General features: G+C 46.0%; 2 protein-coding genes and 1 pseudogene across 26 annotated transcripts in view, besides 2 other annotated features; 2 read left to right on the top strand and 1 right to left on the bottom strand.

The window, feature by feature from the left end:
• MLKL (mixed lineage kinase domain like pseudokinase) overlaps positions 1-10,512 on the top strand; it is a 29,008-nt gene extending 18,496 nt beyond the window's left edge. For 2 of the 11 annotated variants that reach the window (XM_005255834.5, NM_152649.4), the window contains 5 exons: positions 3,387-3,468; positions 6,603-6,754; positions 6,963-7,012; positions 7,267-7,407; positions 9,829-10,512. In XM_005255834.5, the coding sequence (XP_005255891.1) occupies positions 3,387-3,468; positions 6,603-6,754; positions 6,963-7,012; positions 7,267-7,407; positions 9,829-9,863 (460 nt within the window). In that variant the 3' untranslated portion in view covers positions 9,864-10,512. Of the gene's footprint in view, positions 1-3,386; positions 3,469-5,941; positions 6,067-6,602; positions 6,755-6,962; positions 7,044-7,266; positions 7,408-9,828 lie in introns of those variants that run through there. The other 9 variants (XM_047433710.1, XM_047433707.1, XM_047433704.1 and 6 more) reach the window with 8 other exon arrangements.
• Positions 102-300: a silencer, noted in NCBI's record as "fragment chr16:74715965-74716163 (GRCh37/hg19 assembly coordinates)". NCBI's record gives its function as "represses an EF-1alpha promoter that drives an FKBP-Casp9 reporter gene in an ReSE screen in K562 erythroleukemia cells {active_cell/tissue: K562}" and the evidence as "EXISTENCE:reporter gene assay evidence [ECO:0000049][PMID:32094911]".
• Positions 10,513-13,463: 2,951 nt separating the features above from the next.
• On the bottom strand, positions 13,464-14,863 carry TMPOP2 (thymopoietin pseudogene 2; annotated as a pseudogene).
• RFWD3 (ring finger and WD repeat domain 3) overlaps positions 15,490-22,279 on the top strand; it is a 45,479-nt gene continuing 38,689 nt past the window's right edge. For 4 of the 15 annotated variants that reach the window (NM_001370543.1, NM_001370542.1, XM_006721228.4 and 1 more), the window contains exons 1-3: positions 15,490-15,581; positions 17,622-17,743; positions 20,916-21,435. Coding sequence is in view for 9 of the 15 variants with exons in the window: in XM_006721228.4 (XP_006721291.1) it covers positions 20,918-21,435 (518 nt within the window). In the remaining 6 variants the exon portion in view is untranslated. Of the gene's footprint in view, positions 15,582-17,086; positions 17,135-17,621; positions 17,744-17,866; positions 20,412-20,913; positions 21,436-22,279 lie in introns of those variants that run through there. The other 11 variants (NM_001370539.1, NM_001370536.1, NM_018124.4 and 8 more) reach the window with 7 other exon arrangements.
• Positions 15,811-15,960: a silencer, noted in NCBI's record as "silent region_7699". NCBI's record gives its function as "represses an Ori minimal core promoter by ATAC-STARR-seq in GM12878 lymphoblastoid cells {active_cell/tissue: GM12878}" and the evidence as "EXISTENCE:reporter gene assay evidence [ECO:0000049][PMID:35858748]".

Raw genomic sequence — 22,279 nt, 5'->3', positions numbered from 1 at the left:
CAGTTAAATTTGAACGTTAGGAAAGTAATGAATCATTTTTTAGTATAAGTGCATCCTAAACATTGCATGGTATATACTTATACTAAATATCAAAAATATCAAATTTTATTTTATGTTTTGAGACAGAGTCTCACTCTCTTGCCCAGACTGGAGTGCACTGATATGATCACAGATCACTTAACCTCCCGAGCTGAAGGGATTCTCCTACCTTAGCCTCCTGAGAAGCTGGGACTACAGGCGCACACCACTACACTCAGCCAGTTTTTTTTTTATATATATTTTTTGTAGAGATAAGGTTTTGCCATGCTGCCTAGGCTGGTCTCGAACTACTGGGCTCAAGCAATCCTCCTGCCTCAGCTTTCCAAAGTGCTGGGATTACAGGCATGAGTCACTGCACCCAGTCTCAAATTTTGGATAAACATTTATTTTTAGTACAACTATGTCCTATACAATTTGTGGGCATGCTTGTACATATATATATGCGTGTACGTGAATCTATATATTCATTGCTTATCAGAAACTCAAATTTAATGGAGTGTCTTGTGTTTTTTTCTTTTCTTTTTTTTTCTTCTTGAGATGGAGTCTCCCTCTGTTGCCCAGGCTGGAGTGCAGTGGCACGATCTCGGCTCACTGCAACCTCTGCCTCCCAGGTTCATGCCATTCTCCTGCCTTAGCCTCCCGAGTAGCTGGGACTACAGGTGCCTGCCACTACGCCTGGCTAATTTTTTTGTATTTTTATTAGAGACGGGGTTTCACCATGTTAGCCAGGATGGTATCGATCTCCTGACCTCATGATCCACCTGTCTCGGCCTCCCAAAGTGCTGGGATTACAAGTGTGAGCCACCGCGCCCGGCCGTGTCTTGTGTTTTATTTGGCAACTCTACCTATTCTCACCTGCAGAATCTATGGATTCTTAGTCCCAAGGGTCCCCAAAGGTTAGTCACTCACAAACCATCTGCAGGGTTTTAACTATACTACTACCAGTGTTATTTACTTAACATTTTTCATTACATTGACTCACTTTTTAAAAATCGGAATAAAGGCCTGGCCCAGTGGCTCACGCCCATAATCCCAGCACTTTGAGAGGCCAAGGCAGGTGGATCACTTGAGGTCAGGAGTTGGAGACTAGCCTGGCCAACGTGGCGAAACCCTGTTTTTACTAAAAATACAGAAATTAGCCCAGCATGGTGCCACAGGCCTGTAATCTCAGCTACTCAGGAGGCTTGAGGGACAAGAATCACTTGAACCCAGGAGGCGGAGGTTTCAATGAACTGATATCGTACCACTGCACTCCAGGCTGGGCGACAAAGCAAGACTCCATCTCAAAAAATAATAATAATAATTGAAATAAAGCTTTTAAAAAGGACACTTTCTCTTACTACCATAAATTGAAAACCAGTGTCACTTGCCAAAAATAGGTAACCACAAATGAAACCAAAACAATGTAATTAAATTCTGGCTGGATGAGGCTGCCTGCCAGAAGCTCTGTGATCCAACCCACATTCTCTTTGTACAATGGAGATATTGGAGATATTGGCAGAGTTAAGGATACCCAACACCAAGGCTGGGCGCAGTAGCTCACGTCTATAATCCCAGCACTTTGGGAGGCTGAGGCGGACAGATCACAAGGTAAAGAGATCAAGAGCATCCTGCCCAACACGGTGAAACCTCGTCTCTCCTAAAAATACAAAAATTAGCTGGGCGTGATGGCACGCACCTATAGTCCCAGCTACTCGTAAGGCTGAGGCAGGAGAATCGCTTGAACCTGGGAGGCAGAGGTTGCAGTGAGCTGAGATTGTGCCACTGCACTCCAGCCTGGGCGACAGAGCGAGACTCCGTCTCATAAAAAAACAAAAAACAAAAAACAAAAACAAAAAAACAAAAAAAAAATACCAAACGCAGACTTTCTTCTTGATGTAATCAGAAAGACTGGAGCAAACTGAAAGGAGAGTAATTTTCCCTTTATATAATCTTGCATACCACCTTATCCCACACTTTTGGAAACACTGTCTTAGCTATTAATTTGAAATTAAGTTTGTTTCTTCTCAACTCCCTAAACTAGTGAGTTTAAGGAGAAGTATTTTTGGATGTTGTAGGGGACACTGTTAATATCCCCTCCAAATGACCTCTGATCCTTTTTACCAGCTCTATTTACCCATCCCCCTCTCGGCATGCTTTGCTGCTGAAAGTTCACAGCTGCAATCTTCAGAGGATTGCCTGTGGGCACTGGAGCCCTTTCACCCTTATAGACAGCTGAAAGTGCCCACGAGTTTTATATCCATCTGTCCCTGCCCTCCCCAACACAGTCCATAACCACTGACTGGTGTAAGTATAAAAGTCCAGTTCCTTTGCTTCCTGTGGGACACACTCTGAGGTGTAATTGTGCCCACAGGTCTCCGCGAGACCACCTGAGCCTGGGATTTCACCTGAAATCAACCTCTTGCTTGATTTCTTCTCCTTCGCCATCCTACTTCCTGTACTCCCTCAACCATTTCTCCTGGGAGCACCTTCTTTTTGTTTGTTTGGGGGACTTTTGGAGTTATTTTTTTTTTGAGACAGAGCCTCATTTTGCTGCCCAGGCTGGAGTATAGTGGCGTGATCTCGGCTCACTGCAAACTCCACCTCCTGGGTGCAAGTGATTCTCATGCTTTAGCATCCTGAATAGCTGGAATTACAGGCACATGCCACCACGCCCAGCTATTTTTTTGTATTTTTATTAATAGTAGAGATGATGTTTCACCATGTTGGCGAAGCTGGTCTCAAACTCCTGACCTCAAGTGATCCATCCACCTTGGTCTCCCAAAGTGTGGGGATTATAAGCGCAAGCCACCATGCCTGGTCAAGGGAGCACCTTCTTGATACAAATCCCTCGTGCCCAAATCATGGCTCATGATCTGCTTCTGGGAGAATCTGAGCTCAGGCAGACACCATGAGTGCAACCCAACCTGGGACGCAGGGGCTTTGTGAAACCAAAGCCCTTGTCTGGAAGTCAGCGGGACCCCAGCTTCACATTCTGCTTTGACCTGAAGGGTCCCAGCAAGGTCCAGCCACCCAGCCATGCCTCTGAGCTCTCGGATCTGCCCAGCACTTCCCAGGCAAAGCAACACAGAGGCAACGTTGTCCTTCTCTACCTAAAGGCACCCCTGATGCCCGATTGCATGCACTTCATAAGGGCTGTCATGCCCCCTTGTGCTATGAATCTCATCTCTGTTCTATACTCACGGCTTGTGATTCTCAAACCTTGCCTCTACATCCCAGTTTTTCCTGTGTAACTGTGGACAGGCACCCATGGTACTGTCCAGCCTCATCAGCCCAGTTATGATTGTCAGTCCCCCAAAGAAAGTTTGGGCAAAGGTACTTATGCTCCCCGCCTTTGGCTGTGTCAGGCTACACCATTCAGAAGCACCTGAACTCCACGGAAAAATCAGAAGCTCAAACTTCCTGGTAACTCAAGGCTACCAAGTGAAGGTGAGTGTGCCTTGCGGGGGCGCTTTGGGTCAAACCTGCATGACTGGTGCTATGAGAGGGGCACGAGTGTCTCAGAAAGGCTTGATTCTTGTCTTAGTTTATTTATTTATTTATTTAGAGACAGAGTCTCTTTCTGTCACCCAAGCTGGAGGGCAGTGAGCGAGATCGCCCCGCTGCAACCTCTGCTTCCCAGGTTCAAGCGATTCTCCTGCCTCAGCCTCCCAAGTAGCTGGGATTACAGCCATGCACCACCACTCCTGACTAATTTTTGCATTTTTAGTAGAGACAGGGTTTCACCATGTTGGCCAGCTGGTTTTGAACTCCTGGCCTCAAGTGATCCGCCCACCTGGGCCTCCCAAAGTGCTGGGATTACAGGCATGAGCCACCATGCCCGGCCTTGCCTTGGTTTTAGAACTGAGTTCAATTTTAGTTTTTTAGTTTCAGAACTAACTTCAACTTTCTGTGTGCCCACCACACAACAGTCTCCATCTATGCCGCCTGTTCTGATGACTGCCTTCCCTCACTGCCCATTTAGCAGGGATGGGCTACAAGTCATTTCCCCTTAGATGCCTGGACACCACTTCTATGTCCCTACAACATACAATGGGGGATCTTGTTAGGTTTAAGGACTCAGACTCACAGGACAGGTCTAGGCCACACTTGTCATTCAGTTACTTAGAAGGATGTCAGCAGCGCCAAACCTTTCCCTCCAGGGTGAGTCCTCGCAGTCATCCAGGAGATACTCTCTTTGTCAGAGCCACAGGTGCTGGAGAAAGAGGCTCCCATTAGGTGGGTGTGGGTCATCCAGGCTTAGAAGCCCATGACCTGCAGGAGTCAGCATCTCTGGTAACAACTCTGCAGGCATGCCTTCCAGTGTTTCTGCAAGTGACATGTGAGTTGCTGTTTTAAGAGCTGCCACATCTGGGTATGGTGGCTCACGCCTGTAATCCCAACACTTAGGGAGGCTAAGGCGGGTGGATCACCTGAGGTCAGGAGTTCAAGACTAGCCTGGCCAACATAGTGAAACACTGTCTCTACTAAAAATACAAAAAATTAGCCGGGTGTGGTGGCGCACGCCTCTAGTCCCAGCTCCTAAGGAGGCTGAGGCAGGAGAATCACTTGAACCCGGGAGGCAGAGGTTTGCAGTGAGCCGAGATCGCGTGGTTGAACTCCAGCCCGGGCAACAACAGCAAAACTCCATCTCCAAAAAAAAAGAAAAAAGAAAAGAAAAGAGCTGCTACATGGCCAGGCATGGTGGCTTATGCCTGTAATCCCCGCACTTTGGAAGGGAAGGCAGGAGGATCACTTTGAGCCCAAGAGTTCAAGACCAGCCTTGGCAACACAGTGAGACCTCCCCCTCTTCAAAAAATTTAAAAATCAGCCAGTCATGGTGGTGCACACCTGTAATTCCAGCTACTCAGGAGAGTGAGGCAGGAGGAGGATGCCTAGAGCCCAGGAGGTCAAGGCTGCAGGGAGCTATGTTTACGCCACTGTATACCCTAGCCTGGGCAACAGAATGAGACCCTGTCTCAAAAAATAAAAAAGAGGCTGGGCGCGGTGGCTCACACCTGTAATCCCAGCACTTTGGGAGGCCAAGGCAGGTGGATCATGAGGTTAGGAGATCGAGACCATCCTGGCTAACACAGTGAAACCCTGTCTCTACTAAACAATACAAAAAATTGGCCAGGCGTGGTGGCAGGTGCCTGTAGTCCCAGCTACTCCGGAGGCTGAGGCAGGAGAATGGCATGAACCCAGGAGGCAGAACTTGCAGTGAGCTGAGATTGCACCACTGCTCTCCAACCTGGGCGACAGAGTGAGACTCCGTCTCAAAAAATAAATAAATAAATAAATAAATAAGAAAAATTTGCTACAAAGCATTCCCATCAGCTGTTTACTGTGTAGTCCTGTTACCCCCTTGATCCTGCCCAGAAGCAATCTAACAATCAGCAGTCATTTTTATTTTCATCATCAGCAATGTTACTAAGAGCCATAGGTGACAGTCTACCTGTATCAGATTTCCAGGGGAACAGAGCTAAGAAGTTCACTGGAAGTCAGATTTTCATACAGAAGAGGAAAAGATTTTGTGAACTCAGTGTCCACAATTCCCAAATGCTAAAAGAATTTTAGCAGTTTTCTTTGTCATCCATAGACGGTTTTCTTTCTTCCAGTCCTACGAGTGTCAGAGACAGCCCTCAAATAATAGCAGACAGGCCTTTTTTGCCTTTCAGATGCCTTTCCCCCTCTGCGATGGTGATATAAGTACTCCCAAAACACTGTTTCTACTACTCTCACGCTCTTCATGCAGCCTGACTATAAGATGCGCTATTCCACCTTTCATCCCTGGTATCCCATACGGCGCTAGATGTAAGAGAATGTCAGTGCTCAGGAAACGTGTGAGCAAATGAATGAATGAATGAATGAAAGGGGGATGAGCCATCTAAGTGCCTTATCCCTTTTCTCACATTGCCCCTAGATTTGGGTACCTGGCTGAGTTTGGGGCTGGCAGCCTTCAGCACACCAATGGTGTCAATGGCAGGTGTGCATGGGACAAGAACATATGCTGTCATGATTGTGCTACAGTTTCTTTAAGAACACCAGGTGACCGCGCAGGCCTGGGGGGATGACTCACACTCGTCACGCCAAAGCCAAAGGATCAGGCTGACCCCCCATAAAGTCAGATAGCACAGAGGGGATGCCCCCATGCCATTTTTCCATCTGCTTCTTTGGGAAAAGGCGAGCCAGGCAGTGGCTCTATGACCCCTCTCCACTCTCACTGAGTGGAGTTCAGTCCTCAACTGAGAAACCCCTACATTTTAACATAGTCATACTGGCAACAACTACAACTTAGCAGGTCTTACTGGTGCTTTATAACCATTATCTCAAGTAATCCCCCCTGTCATCGCCCCATTTTATACAGAAGAAATCTCTTTGTGTTTCTCTTGGTCACTGCACTGTGATAAGTTGAACCCATAATGTTAACCAATAAAGTAGCCACACAGACAGAAGTCACGACAGGAAATAAATCCCTAAGGTAAAAGACAATTCCCTGGCAATTGTGTGTAGCAACAATCCCTGCCCTTTACTCCTCTACCCAAGATCTTGCTTGTTTCTTTCTAAGTTGCCTCTCTATCTAGCTTGCAGGATTTGAGTTGAGGAAAACACAGACTTCCATGAGTTTGGGAACTACGAGAGAAAAGACAGACAGAGTCAAATCTACAGCATATCTCTCACCTCAGGAACTGGAAGATGTATTTTATCAATATGATGTAAAGTCTGAAATATACAGGTACACTCACGTTCTGGTACAGATTCTAACTCAGATGTGCATAATAGGAAAACCCAAATCAAACTCCTCCAAGGACCACCTAAACTCAACTCTGTTGAATGAAATTGGGTAGTAATCAAAAAATTCACTGAGTTTTCTGGCAGTGGCTAGAGGGACAGGGGAAAGGGGAGACTAGTTATGGTTGTTCAGTTTCTTGGTTTTCTTTTAGCTTTGGAATCGTCCTCTGGGAAATCGCCACTGGAGATATCCCGTTTCAAGGTGAAGAATGTGAAGACTGGCTCAGCCAGTGGTGAGGTTGGGTCCCCTTCCAGTAGACCAGAAATTCCCCATCAGTGCTGCCCCTGGCAATTTGTTGTTTAATGTGGGAACTGCCTGGGCTGGTCAGTGGAATCGTTGGAAGTTCTTGTTGTTTCCATACTCAGAGTCCCTAGTTCTGATGCCAGCCATCAGCATCCAGAGAGATGTACGAGTAGCGGAGCAATTTTTTGAGGCTCTCATGCTATCATTTCCAGGCTGTAATTCTGAGAAGATCCGCAAGCTGGTGGCTGTGAAGCGGCAGCAGGAGCCACTGGGTGAAGACTGCCCTTCAGAGCTGCGGGAGATCATTGATGAGTGCCGGGCCCATGATCCCTCTGTGCGGCCCTCTGTGGATGGTAGGGTTCTTTCTGGTGTAAAGAGCGTGAGCCCCATCATTATTTCACACTTGTGAAAGATTTCCTTTTCACCAGCTCCAAGGCAGTAGTTTACAACGAGGGGTGGTTTTATCCGGGGAACATTTAGTGATGTCTGAAACATTGTTGTTTGTCATAAGGCCAGGGAGGTAGGATGGAGTGTGCTACTGTCATCTAGTGAATAAAGGCCAAGGATGATGGCTGGGTGCGGTTGCTCATGCCTGTAATTCTAGCCCTTTGGGAGGCTGAGATGGGCAGATCACTTGAGGTTAGGAGTTTGAGACCAGCCTGGCCAACATGGTGAAACCTCATCTCTACTAAAATTAGCTAGCCATGGTGGTACATGCCTGTAATCCCAGCTACTCAGGAGGCTGAGGCATGAGAATCTCTTGAAACTGGGAGGTTGCAGTGAGCCAAGATCACGCCACTGTACCACTGCACTCCAGCCTGGGTGACAAAACAAGACTCCGTCTCAAAAAAAAAAATGTTGGCCAGGCGCGGTGGCTCATGCCTATAATCCCAACATTTTGCGAGGCCAAGGTGGGTGGATCGCCTGAGCTCAGGAGTTTGAGACCACCCTGGCCAGCATGATGAAACCTCGTCTCTATTAAAAACCCAAAAATTAGCCAAGTATATTGGCGCATGCCTGTAGTCCCAGCTACTCAGGAGGCTGAGGCAAGAGAATCACTTGAACCCAGGAGGCAGAGGTTGCAGAGTCAGGATCACGCCACTGCGCTCCAGCCTGGACAACAGGGCAAGACTCCATCTCAAAAAAAAAAAAAAAAGAATGCTATTCAACATCCTACAACGCATAGGACAGCCCACCACACAAAGAACTCTCTGGCAGCCCCAATGTCAATAGTGTAAGGGCTTCCAGAGGGCATTGTTTTATCCAAAGTGGGTTGGAAAGGCAGATTACTTTCTTCCTGCCTATTTCCTTCCTTTATTTATCTGTCTGCCTATTTATGGTTTTTTTTTTTTTTTTTTTTAGAGAGGAGGTCTCATTATGTTGCCCAGGCCAGAGTGCAGTGGCTATTGACAGGTAGGATCATGGCACTCTATAGCCTCAAACTCCTGGGCTCAAGTGATCCTCCTGCCTTAGTCTCTAGAGTAGCTAGGACAACAGGCACCACCACAGCAGCATTATCTTGTTGTCTTTTTGTCTTTCTATCTCTCTTCTTTTTCCTCTCTCTTGTTTTATTTTTGACTATCTTTCTCCTTTTTTCCTCCCTCCTTGTCTGCCTTCCTTCCTTTTTTCAGCATCCTTGGGATTATTTCCTCGATGCAGACTTTTATCTCACCATGTCATCAGCTGCTTCTCCATAGCTTCCTTACACTGTCTCCCTCCCTGGAAGCATCTCTCTCTCATACCCTAGACCTAAATCTCCCAGACTTTCCACAAAGCCCAGACAAAAGAGAGAAGGGGCCGGGTGCAGTGGCTCACACCTGTAATCTCAGCACTTTGGGAGGCTGAGGCAGGCAGATCACTTGTGGTCAGGAGTTCAACACCAGCCTGGCCAACATGGTGAAACCCTATCTCTACTAAAAATACAAAAAATAGCTGGGCATAGTGGCACACACCGGTAATCCCAACTACTCAGGAAGCTGAGGCAGGAGAATTGCTTGAACCCCAGAGGCAAAGGTTGCAGTGAGCCAAGATCGCGCCACTGTACTCCAGCCTGGGTGACAGAGCAAGACTCTGTCTCAAAAGAGAAAGAAAGAAAAGAAGAAGGAACTAAAGAGCCATGAGTCCAGACTTTTGAGGCAGCTTCCAAGGATGTTCTGTCTGCTTACAGAAGTCTTGAGCATGAGGACTGTTCTTCAAGGCCTTCTCACAGATGGTCTGTTGGGAAAACCTCTCACACTACCTGAGAGGGTCTCATCTGTCATCTCTCCTCTCCCTTCATCCACATCCCTACCTTTCAGAATGAAGAATCAAAGTCACGGCATAGTTTCTGTCTGAAACTTTCTCTTCACCACCACAGAGCAGAAGCGCAGACTTAATGATGTGTTCTGAAAAATTGGTCTTTGGGGTGGATGAGAAGCCAACAGTGATTTATACAATGCTGTCCTCCACTACACTCTCTCCTCTGTCTTCTTTCTTCTTCTACCAAGCTCCCTTACAACCTAGGGTCCTCCTAGTATTAAGGAATCTAACACCAGAGAGTAATTCATACTAAGATGTGAGTTTACCCCCTCCTGTGAGGTGTTTGTGTTTTAAAAGTTGATCAAGTAAGAGAACTTTATATCCCAAATGTGTGAGTGCTGATGGTGGTTCAGGCACCAGCCAGACCAGGGGGAATGCAGTTTCTAAATGACTGTGCAATGTAGAAATGTCTTTGTGTTTCTAACTTGGCTCTCAGCTGCCTACCCTGGTCTAATTTTCTGTTCATTCATCCACAGAAATCTTAAAGAAACTCTCCACCTTTTCTAAGTAGTGTATCAAAATCTAAACCAAGGAGTCTCTGGACAAGAAGCTGGGAGAGGCACAAACTGGACATCTCTCTCTCTCATATCCTTCGGCATTGGGTTATCTATGGGTGCAAGGAGTGGGCACGCTTCTCTGTTACAAATAGAAAACGATTCCAGTCATACAGGACACATCCCACTCCAAATGATATTTCCAAAAACATACCTCTGACAGTAACTTTGATAGATGGTTTGTCAAATGTATCTTTCTGGGTATCCACACCTCTTGGCAATGAAATTTGCAGCTCCTCCCTTCCATAAATGAAGTCTCTTTCCCCACCATTTGAATCTGGGCTGGCACTGTGACTTGATTTGATCAATAGAATGTGGAAGAAGTGACTGTATGCCAGTTCCAAGCCTAGGTTTCAAGAGGCCTTATAAATGTCTGTTGGAACCTTACCCAGCCATGAACATGTTGAGTGAGCATGCTGGAGAATGAGAGACCACATGAAGCAGAAACATGCTTTCCTAGCTGAAGTCATACTAGCCCAACCAACATGGCAGCTAACACATGAATGAGGCCAATCAAGACCAGAAGAACCACTCAAGCAGATCCCAGCCCAAATTGCCCATTCACACAATCAGGAGCTAAATAAATTACTGTTGTCTTAACACTAAGTTTTGTGGTGGTTTTTTACACAACAGAAGTAACTAGGCAGAAACTGTTCAATTCTTCCTCTTGCCCAAGGAATCAAGTACAAACTTCCTATTTGGATATCCATAGCCTTATGGATATCCCCCATACCATACTTTCCAACCTGACTTTCCAATCAGATGCCAGAGTTCTCCTACCAGAGATTGCAAACTCTAATACCCATAGGGCCTAGGAAGGAAACTAAATGAATGATTTGAACCTGGAGGGGGCTTCAGTGGGCAGATGAGCAAGAACAGCGTCTCCTCAACTCCAGTCTATACTTTGTCACATAGAATGGGATCCCAACATTTCTAGAGCTTTCCATTTTGTCAAAAGAGCTAGAAAGTTGGATTTTTCTGTGATGTCCTTATTTTTAAAGGTCAGTATCTCATTAAAAATTATTTTAGGCTGGGCACGGTGACTCATGCCTGAAATCCCAGCGCTTTGGGAGGCCCAGGCGGGAGGATCATCTGAGGTCAGGAGTTCGAGACCAGCCTTGCCAACATGGTGAAGCCCTGTTTCTACTAAAAATACAAAAATTAGCTGGGTGTGGCTGCCACATGCCTGTAATCCCAGCTACTCGGGAGGCTGAGGCATGAGAATCGTTTGAACCTGGGAGGCGGAGGTTGCAGTGAGGCATGATTGCACCACTGCACTCCAGCCTGAGTGACAGAGTGAGACCCTGTCTCAAAAAAAAAATTATTTTAATGCTGATAAGACAAACAAAATATGTCCACATAGGAGCTGCCAGATTTTAATCCCTGCCAGACTCAAACCCATGTTTGTGGTGCTTTCATTCTAGATTTCTTTTTTTAAGACGGAGTCTTGCTCTGTCACGCCCAGGCTGGAGTGCAGTGGTGCAATCTTGGCTCACTGGAACCTCTGCCTCCTGGGTTCAAGCGATTCTCCTGCCTCAGCCTCCTAAGTAGTTGGGATTACAGGTGCTCACCATCACACCCGGCTAACTTTTTGTATTTTTTAGTAGAGATGGGGGTTTCACCATGTTGGTCAGGCTGGTCTCGAACTCCTGACCTCAGGTGATCCACCCGCCTCGGCCTCCTGAAGTGCTGGGATTACAGGTGTGAGCCACCGCGCCCGGCCTAGAGTTTCACTCTTGTTGGCCAGGCTGGAGTGCAGTGGCGCAATCTCGGCTCACTGCAACCTCCGCCTTGCAGGTTCAAGCGATTCTCCTGTCTCAGCCTCCCAAGTGTCTGGGATTACAGGTGTGTGCCACCACACCTGGCTAATTTTTGTATTTTTAGTAGAGACAGCATTTCACCATGTTGGTCAGGCTGGTCTCGAACTCCTGACCTCAAGTGATCTGCCCACCTCGGCCTCCCAAAGTGCTGGGGTTACAGACATGAGCCACCACACCTGGTCTCATTTTAGATCTTATACCTTTGTTCATGGTGTGTGCTTTGCCTAGGATACACTAATCCCTGTCTTTAAAGTTACATTTTTTTCAGAACTCATTCTAAATCATTCAACAGCAAATGTGCTGTCCATTGTTTCAATCACTGAGAAGACAGCAATAAAAATACATTTGGGTCTTGTATTCTAGTAATCATCTCTGGTGAAGAAAATTATGGCTGATTTCTATTACTATTATTATTATTATTATGAGACAGGGTTTCACTGTGTTGCCTAGGCTAGTCTTGAACTTCTGGGCGCAAGTGATACTCCCACCTTGGCCTCCCAAAGTGCTGGGATTACAGGCATAAGCCACCACACTCGGCCTTATGTTTTTATCTTTTACTTATCCTTGATTTTTTTAAAACCTAGAACATGGTTTTTTTCTATAAATAAAAAATGCAGAAGAATATAAACTTAATATGATTATTTTGTAGAACTTACTGGCAGGTATTACTATTTTACTATTTTCCTTCCTTCCTTTTTTCTTTTTTCTTTTTTTTCAGAGGCAGGGTCTGCTGGTCTGGAACTCCTGACCTCAAGGGATCCGCCCACCTTGTCCTCCCAAAGTGCTGGGATTACAGGCATGAGCCACCATGCCCAGCCACTGTTTTCATCTTTAAAATCATTTGTTCTATTTACTGTAGGAGTTACAGTGAAAATTCTCCCTGGTAGATGAATTATTCATACTCTGGCAGACCCACAATTATTATAGGTGAATTTACTATAAGCCTGATAAAGCTTAATCTTCAGGGCCTTTTACTTGCACAGGATGCCTTCCAAGGCCCTGTACCTGATTTTTCCCAACACTTATGTATGAAAATTTCCAGATACACAGAAAAGTCAGTACAATTGTACTCTGAACAACCATATACCTACCACCTAAATTCTACAACTAACAATTTATTATATTTGTTTTATCACATACCTATTTATCTGCTTGTGCCTCTTTCTAGCCATTAATTCATCCTGATTTTTTATGCACTTCATTCCTAAACACTTCAGCATTTATGCCATTAACTGGAGTTTATCTCTCTATGAGCTTTTTTTTGGCGGGGGGGTGGGAAGGTAAGTTTTTGCTGTGAAAAATTTGTGTGAAATGCACAAATCTTAAAGATAGCATTTGATGAGTTTTGACAAATGCATACATATGAGTAATCCAAACTCTATCAAGATCATGAACATTATGGCCGGGCGCGGTGGCTCACGCCTATAATCCCAGCACTTTGGGAGGCCAAGGCGGGTGGATCACCTGAGGTCAGGAGTTCAGGACCAGCCTGGCCAACATAGTGAAACCCCACCGCTACTAAAAATACAAAAATTAGGTGGGCGTAGTGGCACGTGCCTGTGATCCCAGCTACTCAGGAGGCTGAGGCAGGAGAATCACTTGAACCCAGGAGGTGGAGGTTGCAGTGAGCCGAAATCATGCCATTGCACTCCAGCCTGGGCAACAGAGCGAGACCCTGTCTAAAAAAAAAAAAGTTCTAGAGCTAAAAAAGATTATTCATATGGCACAAAGTGATCTCCTACTAGTCCAAAGTTCAAAAACATTTTAATAAAGTCCATTCATATATCTTTTGTTTGCTTTCCAATGGAATACTACGTTTATTGAGGCAAAATCACATTATTTTTAGTTCTTGGAGTCAAAAAGCGTACACGAATGTTCTTCAACACAGTTACTAAAAATACAAGACCAAGTTGAATGTGCCAAAGAGATACCATTCAGTTGGGTTTTCTAGAGTCATCAGGAAGAATATTAGAGAAGGGATTTACATGGTTGGTTTCCATAGCTTGATAGACCAAACACACACAAAAAAACTGCCACAACAACAAACAGCAAAATTTTTATCCATACAGGAATGGAGCGTCCCTTTTTTTTGTATTTTCTCACTTGACGTCTGCCAAGGGAACATACTTAGGAACATATGTAGATGAAAACGACTCCTCCATCCTCAAATCACTGAGTTCTAATGGCCGGCCTGCAGCTCCTTTGATTGTTCTGCGGCAACTAGCACTAATTCTTGTTGGTGTAGTTGCTTCATAGGGGAACATTTCCTTAAGAATATCCCTTTCTACTCTTCTTTCCTGTGTTTTTTTTCTCCCACTTCAGCTCTTGTCAATGGTTTCTTTGGTGTTCTTCTGGGTATGTCTGAGAATTCAGTGACTGGCAGAATAGGAAATGCATGCTTGAAATTTCCAGTCACCCTATTGACAATTAAGGATTCGTTGTTTGAAGCAATTATAGTTTCAGCTATGGGAGTACTCGCTGAAATTACTGCTCCATCTATACGAAAATATTCTGAAGCGTGCACCCTTTTGCTTGGAGTTCTTCTTGACCCTCTTGTAGATTCCCTAGTTAATAATGCCTGCAGAGGTCCGCCTTTTGAAGATCCACTTGTCCATTCAGTCCCAGTTATTCCAGCTTGAGAATAGCTCTCCTTGTGCTCAACTCTTCTTTGCTTGAGGGTTACTGGAGTCTTTACTCCCCTGTTTAGCGGTTCTCTCTTCTCAAACTTGAGCCCAATTTAGAGTCTTCTTCATTTTCACCATATCTGTCAGAATCATTACTTCCATTCTGCCTTGTATTTTCTGCTGAAGAAGAAATTGTTGCTGAAGGAGACGATCTTGATTCTGTTCCTTGCTCCCTCAGTTTCAAAAGCTATTTCTCATACAGCTTCCTGGTTGTTCCCACAATAGGACCACAATTCACTCCGTATTTCACAAGCTGATCCAAAGGATCTTCATTAGTGAGTTCTGTTACATCTAGATCGTCTTTATCATCTTGTCTGGGTTTATCAGTTTTCTTTGTGGCTTTCCTGCCGGCGGCGGGCTCGGAGCCGAGACGGCTGTGGGCTCGCGCTCCTCGTACGTAGCTGGAGAATTCCGGGGGCCCCTTTCTTTTGGCGCTGGCGGCGAGCGGCGGCCCTAACAAGTGATTTGAGACTGTTCAGTAGCTCAGATCCCTTGCAGCGGTTTGAGATTGAAGAGATTATGTAGGCAAAGTATTTTGCGTGAGCTCTTCAACCCCATGAGAGGATACATATGAACTGGACTGTCCTACGCCTCTTTACAGGCTCCGAAATTCAAAATATTGAAATATTTTGAAATTATTCGATTAGCTGCTATCCTTTGGATACAGATAACTCCTTCACTAAAGCGTTAGGGATAAGCAGCAGGAGTCAGTTTTAATATCATCATCCCCATTCCAAAATGGACCGAGAAATCATATAACTTTCTCCCGCCAGAAAGTTCAAATAAAACGCGCTAAAAAAAAAAAAAAAAACCAAACAAAAAAAAAACAAAAAAACCTCCCATTTTTTCCGGGGCGGGTGCAAGGTGACGGACGTAGATTCCTGCCAATTGTAGGAGGCTTCCTCAAGCGCGGTCCCGCCTCGTCAGGACGAACTACCAGCCAATGAGAGCACCGCTGCTTCAGCTATCGGGGGACCCATTGAAGAAGAAGAGTGGGTATTGGCCACAGCGTAGGGCTTCTGTCCAATAGGAGCATGCCTGCCGGCGGCTCTGGCGGGAGCTTGAGCGGCTCCGGAAGTGGCAGTTGGCGTAGGTGCATTCGGAGTGCGGCCGAGGTAACTACCGAGTCTTCGGCGGGCTCGCGAGCCCGGCCGCGGCCTGCTGGTTTCAGGTGAGGAGGGGTGTTGCTTCTCCTCAGGCCTTGGGCCTCTAGCTTCGGGATAAACCTCCCCACGCCTGATTCCTGGATTGGGATTCAGGAGACACCCCACGAGGTGGGCTGCACGCGGGCTTGGAACCCGGCGGCCTGAGGGGATTCGGGCCCTCGGGGCGGCGCCAGTGGTCGGGGCTAAGGAGCCCGAACCCCCGCGCGTATCTGGGTTGCTGGGCGTGGGGGCTGGGCAGGCGAGAGCTCGGGGCGATCACTGAAGGAGCCGAGTTCGCTGCTGCGGGGCCTGCCCTGGCCGGGGTGGGAGGTCGCCCGGCCCTTCCCCCGAGAGCCTAGCCTCGGGCTCCTCAGCGGCGTTGCCTGCGCCCGCTCTGAGCGCCGATTACTTCATCACTTTAAAGTTGATGGAAGAACTTCATTTTTAATTTCATCACGGAAACTGTGGAGTAAAGACTTGTATTATCCCTGTTTTACAGGAGAACAAGTTGAGCCGAGTTTAGGAAACCCGCCCAAAGTTTCCCCATGTAGTAAAAGAACAGGGATTTAATATCTATGTATCTAATCAATCTATCTATCTATCTATCTATCTATCTATCTATCTATCTAATCTGTCTATCTAATCTATCTATGTCTTTCTTTCCCCATGTAGTAAAAGAACAGGGATTTAATTTCCTTCTTTCCCTCTCTCCCTTCCCCTCCCGTCTCCCTCTCCCTCCTCTTCCCCCTCCGCCTCTCCCTCTCCCTCTCTCTTCCTCCCTTTTTCCTGTTATAAAGAGAAAAAGGTGTTATAAAGAGAAAAGCGGTGGCTCAGGCCTGTAATCCCAGCACTTTGGGAGGCCGAGGCAGTCGGATCACCTGAGGCCAGGAGTTCGAGACCAGCCTGACCAACATGGAGAAACCCCATTTCCCAGCTACTCGGGAGGCTGAGGCAGGAGAATCGCTTGAACCCGGGAGGCCGAGGTTGCAGTGAGCTGAGATCACGCCATTGCACTCCAGCCTGGGCAACAAGAGTGAAACTCCATCTCAAAAAAAGAAAGAAAGAAAGAAAGAAAAGTCTCCCTGTTGCACCCAGGCTGGAAGAGCTCACTGCAGTCTCGAACTCCCGGGCCCCAGGGATCCTCCCACCTCGGCTTCCCGCAATAGCTGGGACCACAGGTGCGCGCCACCACGCCCGGCTCATTGTTTTATTTTTCTTTTTTCTTTCTTTTTTTGAGATAGAGTCTCGCTTTGTTGCCCCTGCTGGAGTGCAGTGGTGCGATCTCGGCTCACTGCAACCTCTGCCTCCCGGGTTCAAGCGATTCTCCTGCCTCAGCCTCCCAAGTAGCTGGGATTACAGGCATGCGCCACCACACCCGGGTAGTTTTTGTATTTTTAGTGGAGACGGGGTTTCACCATATTGGCCATTCTGGGACTCCGACCTCAAGTGGTCTGCCCTCGGCTTCCCAAAGTGCTGGGATTACAGGTGTGAGCCACCGCGCCTGACCTGTTCTATTTTTCTTTTTTGGTAGAGATGGGAATTTCACTGTGTTGCCCAAGCTGGTCTGGAACACCAGAGCGTAAGTGATCCATCCGCCTGGGCATTTCAGTGTCCAGGGATCACAGGCGTGACCCTCTGCACCGGCCAGAGCAAAGATTTGAACACTTCCCCCGCCCACCTCTTCTCAACCTTTAATTGAGGGGCTTTCGTCCTGCCTGTTGTGGCCATTGATTGAAACCTGAGTAACAAAGATGACAAGTCTGAGGTTGACATTTTAAGCACCGCTCACAGCACACATAAAAAACAGCGTTTGTGTGACATCCTCAAGGTTTGGGGTGCCCAGCCCATGGTCTCTCGTTCTAGGCACCTCCGACTGGCCTACAGTGGTTAGGAAGCTTCAGCTCCAGAACTGCACCGTTCCATAGAACTTTGTGCGACGAGAAAAGTGTTCTGTATTTCTGCTGTCCAGTATGGGAGTCACCCGCCCTATGTGTGTTTCTAGCAGTTGAAATGTGACCTGCACGACAAAGGAACTTATTTTATTTCTTTCTTTTTTCTTTTTTTAGACGGAGTCTTACTCTCTCTCCCGGTCTGGAGTGCAGTGGCGTGATCTCGGCTCAATGTAACCTCCACTCTCCGGGTTCAAGGGGTTCTCCTGCCTCAGCCTCCCAAGTAGCTAGGACCACAGGTGCACACCATCACGGCTGGCTAATTTTTTTGTATTTTTTGTAGAGACGGGGTTTTGCCGTGTTGCCCAGGCTGGTCTCCAACTCCTGGTCTCCAGCTACCTGCCTCAGTCTCCCAAAGTGCTGGGATTATAGGCGTGGGCCACAGCTCCTGGCCGAATTTGATTTTTATTTAATTTAAATAACCATATGGGAGTAGACAGTGCGGCCCCCTAGATTCTGCTCTTTTTAGTCCATTTCTCCCCTTTGTCTTCCTGAAGGCTGAGTTGCTTAATGTCTCTTGAGTACATCTAGAAGTAGCTTGGGCCTTATGTTCTGACACACAATTCTTGGGAGACTGTCGTTGTACCCTAGAAACATTAAAAGCTTTTAGTTAGGCAGCTGCAGTAGCTCACTCCTGTAATCCCAGCACTTTGGGAGGCTGAGGCAGAAGGGTTGCTTGAGCCGAGGAGTTGAAGACCAGCCTAGGCAACGTGGGAAACCCCATCTATACAAAAAATGTTTAAAACTTGAAGTATCTCACATTGTTCAGTTTGCAGACTTTCTTTCCCACTTATTTTCAGTACTGTGCCACTCTCCATCCTGAGTGTAAGCCTGTGTGGTTCAAACCTCCAGTTTTCTCGTGCATAGGGGGAGAAGGGCTTTGTTCTGTGTTTTGTTTTAGCTGGCTGGTGTTTGAGTAGGAGTCAAGCTAACTGCTTTACTGGCTTTTAACCAGCCCTTCTCTTTTAGCGCCATCTTTCAATATTGCCTTTTGTGGTACCTGGTTTTTACAGTCCCTTTAGTGGGAATCAGCTTGCTTCTCAATAACACACCTCACCCCAACCACTGTGCCCTTTGCAGGCTTTGAGTTTTATCTTTTGGCTCTGCTAAGCAGTCATCAATCATCAGTTTCTCCTTTATGGCCTTAAAAAACTGGTTTGCATATCATACCCTGTTTGCATTTGTGTCGTCCTGGTTAATTTATCCTTTCTTAAAAAAATGTCTCAGGTTGTGGGGGTCATGTTCGTGGGTTTTAGGAATGACTGGAGTGGAGAGAGAAAGATACATATATGTACTTCGTCCACTATGTTTATTAGAATTCCTTCCATTTATTCAGCCTGCACCAGTCTGGCCTCTGACCCCACCACTTCAGGGAAACTGCTTTTTTAGGTCACCTGTCATCCTCATGTTGCCAAATCTAGCGGCCGTTCTTCCCCCCAGTAGCACTTGACACTCAATTGTTCCTTCCTTGAAACATTGTTTTTCCAAGACACCACATTCCCATGTTTCCTCCTACTTTATAATCTTCCTTAACTGGCTTCTTTTACTCTGTTGTACTTTTAACAGTAGTGTCTCTGACTTTAGTCTTCAGCCCTCTTCTGTCATTCTGTTCCTCAGGTGGTTTAATCTGCTTTGATGATTTTAAGAAACATGAGTATTGGCCGGGCGCGGTGGCTCATGCCTATAATCCGAGCACTTTGGGAGGCTGAGGCTGGCAGATCACCAGGTCAGGGGATCGAGACCATCCTGGCTAACACAGTGAAACCCCGGCTGTACTAAAAATACAAAAAATTAGCCAGGCGTGGTGGCAGGCACCTGTAATCCCAGCTACTCGGGAGGCTGAGGCAGGAGAATGGCGTGAACCCGGGAGGCGGAGCTTGCAGTGAGCCGAGATCGCGCCACTGCACTCCAGCCTGGGCAACAGAGCGAGACTCCATCTCAAAAAAAAAAAAAAAGAAGCATGACCATTCTGAAGATTCTTAAAGCTGTCTGTTTGTTTTCATCTCCACTGCTACCACTCTTGCCTAGGTCTCTCTGACCTCTGGTCTGGACTCCCACAATAGCCTCTACACTGGTCACCTAGCTTATGCTCTTGCACCCCTACAGTGCATTCCTAACATAGAAGAAACTCCTTACCAAGGCCCATAGGCCCTTTAATAATGGTGTCCTGTTCATCAGTGAAACCCATGCTCATCAGGGACCTATGCACTGATTTCCTTCTGAGACTCTTCTTGGCTCTTTGCATAGCCAGCTGCTTTTAATCCTTCATGCCTCAGCCCAATTTTCACTCTTTAAAAGAGTACTTCCCTCACAATTGTGTCTTAGTTGGTCCTCTTTGTCTCCTCAACCCCAAACATCATAATCTATAATTTTTTTCATGTATTTGTTTATTGACATCTTACTTGCTAGAATCTAAACTCTGATACATGGGGTCTTATCTGTTTTTGCCTCTAGGGTGTCTTGTCTGCATAACAGGTGCTTAATAACTATTAGTTGAACCCCCATTTCCTCATAAGTCAGATGAAAATAAAAGCACGTGCCTTACTTCACAAAGTAATTAAGGGGATAAGTTATACTGATGTACTTTAAAAACTAGGTGGTAGGGAGGCACAGTGGCTCAGTCCTGTTGTCCTGATGCATGAGGAGGTAAGGCCAGGCATTCAAGACCAGTTTGGGCAACATAGGAAGCCTTCATCTATATAACAAAAAAAAATTTTTTTTTTTAGTTTAAAAACTAGGTGGTAGTTTTCAAACTGATACAATGGAATTAAAGATAGGAAACATGAAAAGAACATAGGTGCTTAATAAATATTTGTTGAATACGCTAACATGATGGAATTAGAGATGGAAAACAAAAATAATGAAAGGGATAGGATAAAGTTTGCTCAGCCTTTTTGGAAACATTAGGTAAGTTTCCATTTTGAGTTAGTAACAGTTAATTTTGCAAGTGTAAAAAATGTCCTTTCTCTATTTATCCCTTGTAACTGTTGATGCTGTGAAAGATTAATATTGCCTGCTAAAATTAGATACTGCATTATATGCATTTGATTTTGGTGAATGTCCATATTCAGCTTGAGAGAACTGCAAAGTGTCTGAGAGATTACTTTTAGACCCAGTAGTTTAATCTCCTTGGTTTATAGATCTTTCTATTTTGGAAGATACTACTATGATCACAGGACTTCATGTTTTCTAAGGGCAAACCGGAAAACTGGTTATAAATGCTTGTTATAGAGAGGAAAGTCCATTACCAAACACTTCTGACTTAAGTAGTTAAAATCTTCTCTTGAAGCTTCTCAGTCTTGCTAAGAATGATATTAAACATAAAATCAGAAAGATTAAATATGATTCTGTCACCTACATAGCATGTTTTATCTATTTTATTAATACTTTTTACAAATACTGTTTCTCTAGTGATGGCTCATGAAGCAATGGAATATGATGTTCAGGTGCAGTTAAATCATGCCGAACAACAGCCAGCTCCTGCTGGCATGGCCAGCAGCCAAGGGGGACCAGCCCTCCTCCAGCCTGTTCCTGCTGATGTGGTCAGCAGCCAGGGGGTACCATCCATCCTCCAGCCAGCTCCTGCTGAGGTGATCAGCAGCCAAGCGACACCACCCCTGCTCCAGCCTGCTCCGCAACTGTCTGTTGACCTGACAGAAGTGGAGGTCTTGGGAGAAGACACTGTGGAGAACATCAATCCAAGAACTTCAGAACAACATAGGCAGGGATCTGATGGTAATCACACCATCCCAGCATCTTCGTTGCATTCAATGACCAACTTCATCAGCGGACTGCAGAGACTTCATGGCATGCTGGAATTCCTGAGACCTTCATCTTCAAACCACAGTGTAGGGCCAATGAGAACAAGAAGGAGGGTATCTGCTTCACGGAGGGCAAGAGCCGGAGGGTCTCAGAGGACAGACAGTGCCAGGTAAATAAATATATGGATAAGTCTGTGATCATTGCTGTACTAGAAATTATGAAACTGAGGCTCTGCCATTCAAGGACTGACAGTGTGACTTTTGGCAAGTCAGGTAACTTCTGACCCCCAGTTCCTCATAGGTGGAAATAAAAGTGCTTGCCTTACTTCACAAAGTAATGAAGGGATAAGTTAAACTGTTGTGCCTTGAAAACTAGGTGGTAGTTTGTTGGCAATCTCTGTAGAGATTGGCTGTTGTTCAGATTGTGTCTTGTACACCAAAAATTCTTTCTTCACTTGCAAGTCTCTACTCACCCAAATTCATTATTCACTGGCATTCCACCTGGGGGCACAATTAATTAATTTTCTTTCATAGTCTTGGTTTGAACTTGCCTCTTGAAGGGCTTAGCTGTCAAGTCTTGACAGGGTTATTATGAAGAATAACAATTGCCTATACCCTGTCCGTTTTTTGGTTTTTTGTTTTTGTTTTTGAGACAGCGTCTCACTCTGTCGTCCAGGCTGGATTCCCGTGGCACAATCTTTGCTCACTGCAACCTCCATCTCCCAGATTCAAGCGATTCTCCTGCCTCAGCTTCCCCAGTACCTGGCATTACAGGCGCGTGCCACCACACCTAACTAATTAAACCTGTCTGTTTTTGGTTTTGTTTTGTTTTGAGATGGAGTCTCACTCTGTCGCCCAGGCTGGAGCGCAGTGGTGCGATCTCCGCTCAGAGAGGGCTTTGTTCAGGGTCTCATAACTATAGAATAGAGGAGTTAGCACTGATATTGGAGCCTGGATCTGCCCTGTTTTCTACATAGGCAGATGGAGGAAGCTTCGACGAAATCCCTTTGTTTT

Source organism: Homo sapiens, chromosome 16, assembly GCF_000001405.40.
Source record: "Homo sapiens chromosome 16, GRCh38.p14 Primary Assembly".
Lineage (NCBI taxonomy): Eukaryota > Metazoa > Chordata > Mammalia > Primates > Hominidae > Homo > Homo sapiens.
The sequence above is the reverse complement of the archived record's forward strand: the minus strand, read 5'-3'. Positions and strand labels throughout refer to the sequence as shown.